Below are 3,459 nucleotides of genomic sequence, written 5' to 3'. Positions count from 1 at the left end.
GGCAAGAATAATGGATTCCAATCCAATTTCTTTTTAAAAAAAGCACTATTATTAGATCAATTTGAGTAAGTACTCCAATAATCTTTTTCCAGGAGGGTTGGACAAGTTTTATAACAAGTTCTGGGGACCACCCTTGTGCTCATATGGTTCCTGAGCTAGATTTTATAATATTCTCAGGAGTGTGCCTGAGAATGTGGGATTGTTTCATAAATGTTACTTAGAAGAGGTTAGAGATGTTGGTAGGGCCAGTATGTGAAGGATTGTGTAAAGGTCTATTTATGTTTGAAACAATGCCTAGCACACAGCCTGGCACTGCATAAAGAATCAATAAATGGTATCTGTTGTTATTATTGTGTCAAAACACCCTGCTTATGTTTTTGTCTTCCCCACTATCCTGTTAGTTTCTTGGTTACTAAGACTGAGTTTGATACATGTTTGTATTCTCAGCACCTTGGACAGCTCTTGACCAAGCTCCTGTACTGACACCAATGCTACCAACCACTGGCTAGGGCCCTCTTTTCAAATGAACTCTCCATTGGCTCTTATATCCTCCCCCCACAAGCTTGGAGTTTCTGGAGCACTACAGCCAGGCCCAACTAAGACTTAGTACACTATACCCCTGAATGGTTTGTTTTGGGCCACTGGAACCCACTTCCCTTAGAATCTGAAGCCCTTCATCCCACATCCCTCATCCTTCATTTTTAGCTTTATTCTTCTTCCCACCAACCCAAGTCAGCAAGACTCCAGCATGCTTTGCAGCTGACAGTGCCTGAGTTATCTCACTGCAGAGGCGCATTTGCTAGTTAGCACATTTGCTGCTTTAATTAGACTAGTTTTGACAAGCTCTGAAACTTTGTTTTTGGTTTTGATCTTTGGGATGCTTTAAAGCACCATAAAACTGTGTAGTTGTTGTGGGCAGGTCACATATCCACCAACATCCATCTGCTTCCTCAGAAAACTGATTGTCCCAAGCTTGGAATAGAGCATGGAAAGCACACAATAAAATGAGATTGCCATAGGTTAATGCTATTTCTCATAAAAAGCAGTTTTCCTTTTCTATCTCTTGTGTTCTTGGCACTTTTATTAAGTCACCATTTTGACCTTCCTCTTAATTACAACCAATGCAAAATAATTAACATCTTAATATTGCTGGGTTGTTGCTTTTAGAGAAGGTGAATATGTTTGCATGGTGCCTGAGGGTTTACAAAGAAAACTCTGGTGAATTATCTCACTTAACACAATCCTGTGAAGCAAGGCATGATGGCAATTATAGGTACATTTTACAGATGAGAGACCTAGAGCCTAACAAGGTCAAATGCTTAGAGCAAGAGAAAGTTAGCTTAATAAAATAAGTATTTATTACAATCCACTTTTTGCAGTGGGCAGTGAGACTATGCCAAGTACAATAAAATATCACTTTGAAATTCTCGATTGTCTAGCTTCTTGCAACCAGGGTGTTTCCCTCTCTTCATTCATGTTTTAATTTTAATTTTAATTTTGAAACAGAGTCTCACTCTGTTGGCCATGCTGGAGTACAGTGGAATGATCCTGGCTCATGGCTTACTGCAGCCTCCGTCTCCTGGGCTCAAGTGATCCTCCCATCCCAGCCTCCCATGTAGCTGGGACTATAGGCTCACACCACCATGCCTGGCTAATTTTTTATTTTTTGTAGAGATGAGTGTCTTGCCAAGCTGCTTAGGCTGGTCTCAAACTCCTGGGCTCAAGTGATCCTCCTGGCTTGGCTTCCCAAAGTGCTGGGATTACAGGCATGAGCCACTGTGCCCAACCCATGTTTATTATCACTGGAATTTTGCCTCATTAGAGCATTGCATTATACATATGCAGGCCACGTGGGGGTTTCGCCTCTCAGGGAGGGAAGTTTGGAGTCTGTGAAGTTGGTTCTTTTCTTAGTCACTTGGTTGTTAAACTCTGTTTCCACGGCAGGCACCGAAGAGACCAGCCCTATCCTCTATACAGTTCTGCTTTTCCAACACTTATTTAACCTAAACAGTTCCTAGGATCTACCCTTCCTTTCTCACATGATGAAGAAAAGTATTTATCTGCTCAGGAGTGTTCGTTTTGAACTGTTTGACAAAGAAGAAGCAAGCTTTGGGAGTTGATTGGTAAAGCCTTTGCCCACCCTGATAATGCACTGGCTTGCTGCTTATCTCTCATCCTCAGCTTCTGGACAACATTCTCCTAAGATTGTAATGAGTAATAAATATGATTTCTCATAGACACGATCCCAAACATGTCCAGGCCCCTTCCCTGTTAGTTGATCTGCTGTTTACTGCATCTCCAATTTCTCTCATCCCATTACAAAGCCTTTACTCTTCAGTTCTCCTTTTTGGAATTAGCCACTGAAATTCTTTCTCCCTAGGAGTATTCCAGTGAATATAAATACATTGGGAGGATTATTTCCCTTTCTCTATTGAGTGTAAAGCTTTGGCATCCCTCCTCAGCCCATACGTTCAGTCTGGCACTGATTCACGTATTCTTCCAGCTGGCTCTTCTGGGTTCTGGACACTAACAAACAGCATAGGATGAAAATCGTGACTCTACTGAACTTTCAATGTATGACCAGCCACAACACTATGGAGGGGCACTTATGGAAGGTAAAAACAGGAAATGAAAAATGTCCTCTTGGCTTCTCATTCTTTCATGTACACTTAATGTTTCTGCTACACTGATCTGTCTCTGGGCCTTTCCTCAACCAGTTCCTTTTGCAATGTCGCACCTTCTCCTCACCTCCACCTGTGAAATCCTATTCATGCTTCAACATCTATATCAAATGACAACTGTCCCGTGAAGTGTGATGTGACCTCTCCTTGTTCTGTGCAACCACAACATTAACAGATACTGCTTCATTAGTGTCTCATCCAGGTTCCCCAGAAGCTGAATCTGAGAAGTTCTCACACAGGTGATTTATTAAGGGACCACTCAAAAGAGACCTAGGAGGGAGGAAGGGAAGCAGGATGAGTCAAGAAAAGAAGGTAGGAAAGAAAGCTAGGCTTCTGGGGAAGTTGGCCTTGGGCAGATCCCACTGAAGGCTCAGGAGTGTGAGTTGCGCACAGCAGTTGTCTTACCCAAAGAAAAAGTTACCATATAACCCAGCAGTCTCTCTTCTAGATATATATGCTCAAAGGAAATGAAATGATTATCTCATAAAGATATCTGGACTTTCATGTGCCCATGTTCATTGCAGCATTAATCACAATAGCGAAGAAATGGATAAAGAAGCTGTGAATAGGCCGGGCGCAGTGGCTCATGCCTGTAATCCCAGCACCTTGGGAGGTCGAAGGGGGTGGATCATTTGAGGTCAGGAGTTCCAGACCGGCATGGCTAACATGGTGCAAACCCCATCTCTATTAATAAAAAAAAACACAAAAATTAGCCAAGTATGGTGGTGCATGCATGTAATCCCAGCTACTCGGGAGGCTGAGGCAGTAGAATTACTTG

General features: G+C 42.4%; 1 annotated feature.

The window, feature by feature from the left end:
- Positions 373 to 573: a silencer, noted in NCBI's record as "peak7183 fragment used in MPRA reporter construct". NCBI's record gives its function as "represses an SCP1 promoter by STARR-seq MPRAs in K562 erythroleukemia cells {active_cell/tissue: K562}" and the evidence as "EXISTENCE:reporter gene assay evidence [ECO:0000049][PMID:32103011]".

Source organism: Homo sapiens, chromosome 8 (assembly GCF_000001405.40).
Source record: "Homo sapiens chromosome 8, GRCh38.p14 Primary Assembly".
NCBI lineage: Eukaryota > Metazoa > Chordata > Mammalia > Primates > Hominidae > Homo > Homo sapiens.
The sequence above is the reverse complement of the archived record's forward strand: the minus strand, read 5'-3'. Positions and strand labels throughout refer to the sequence as shown.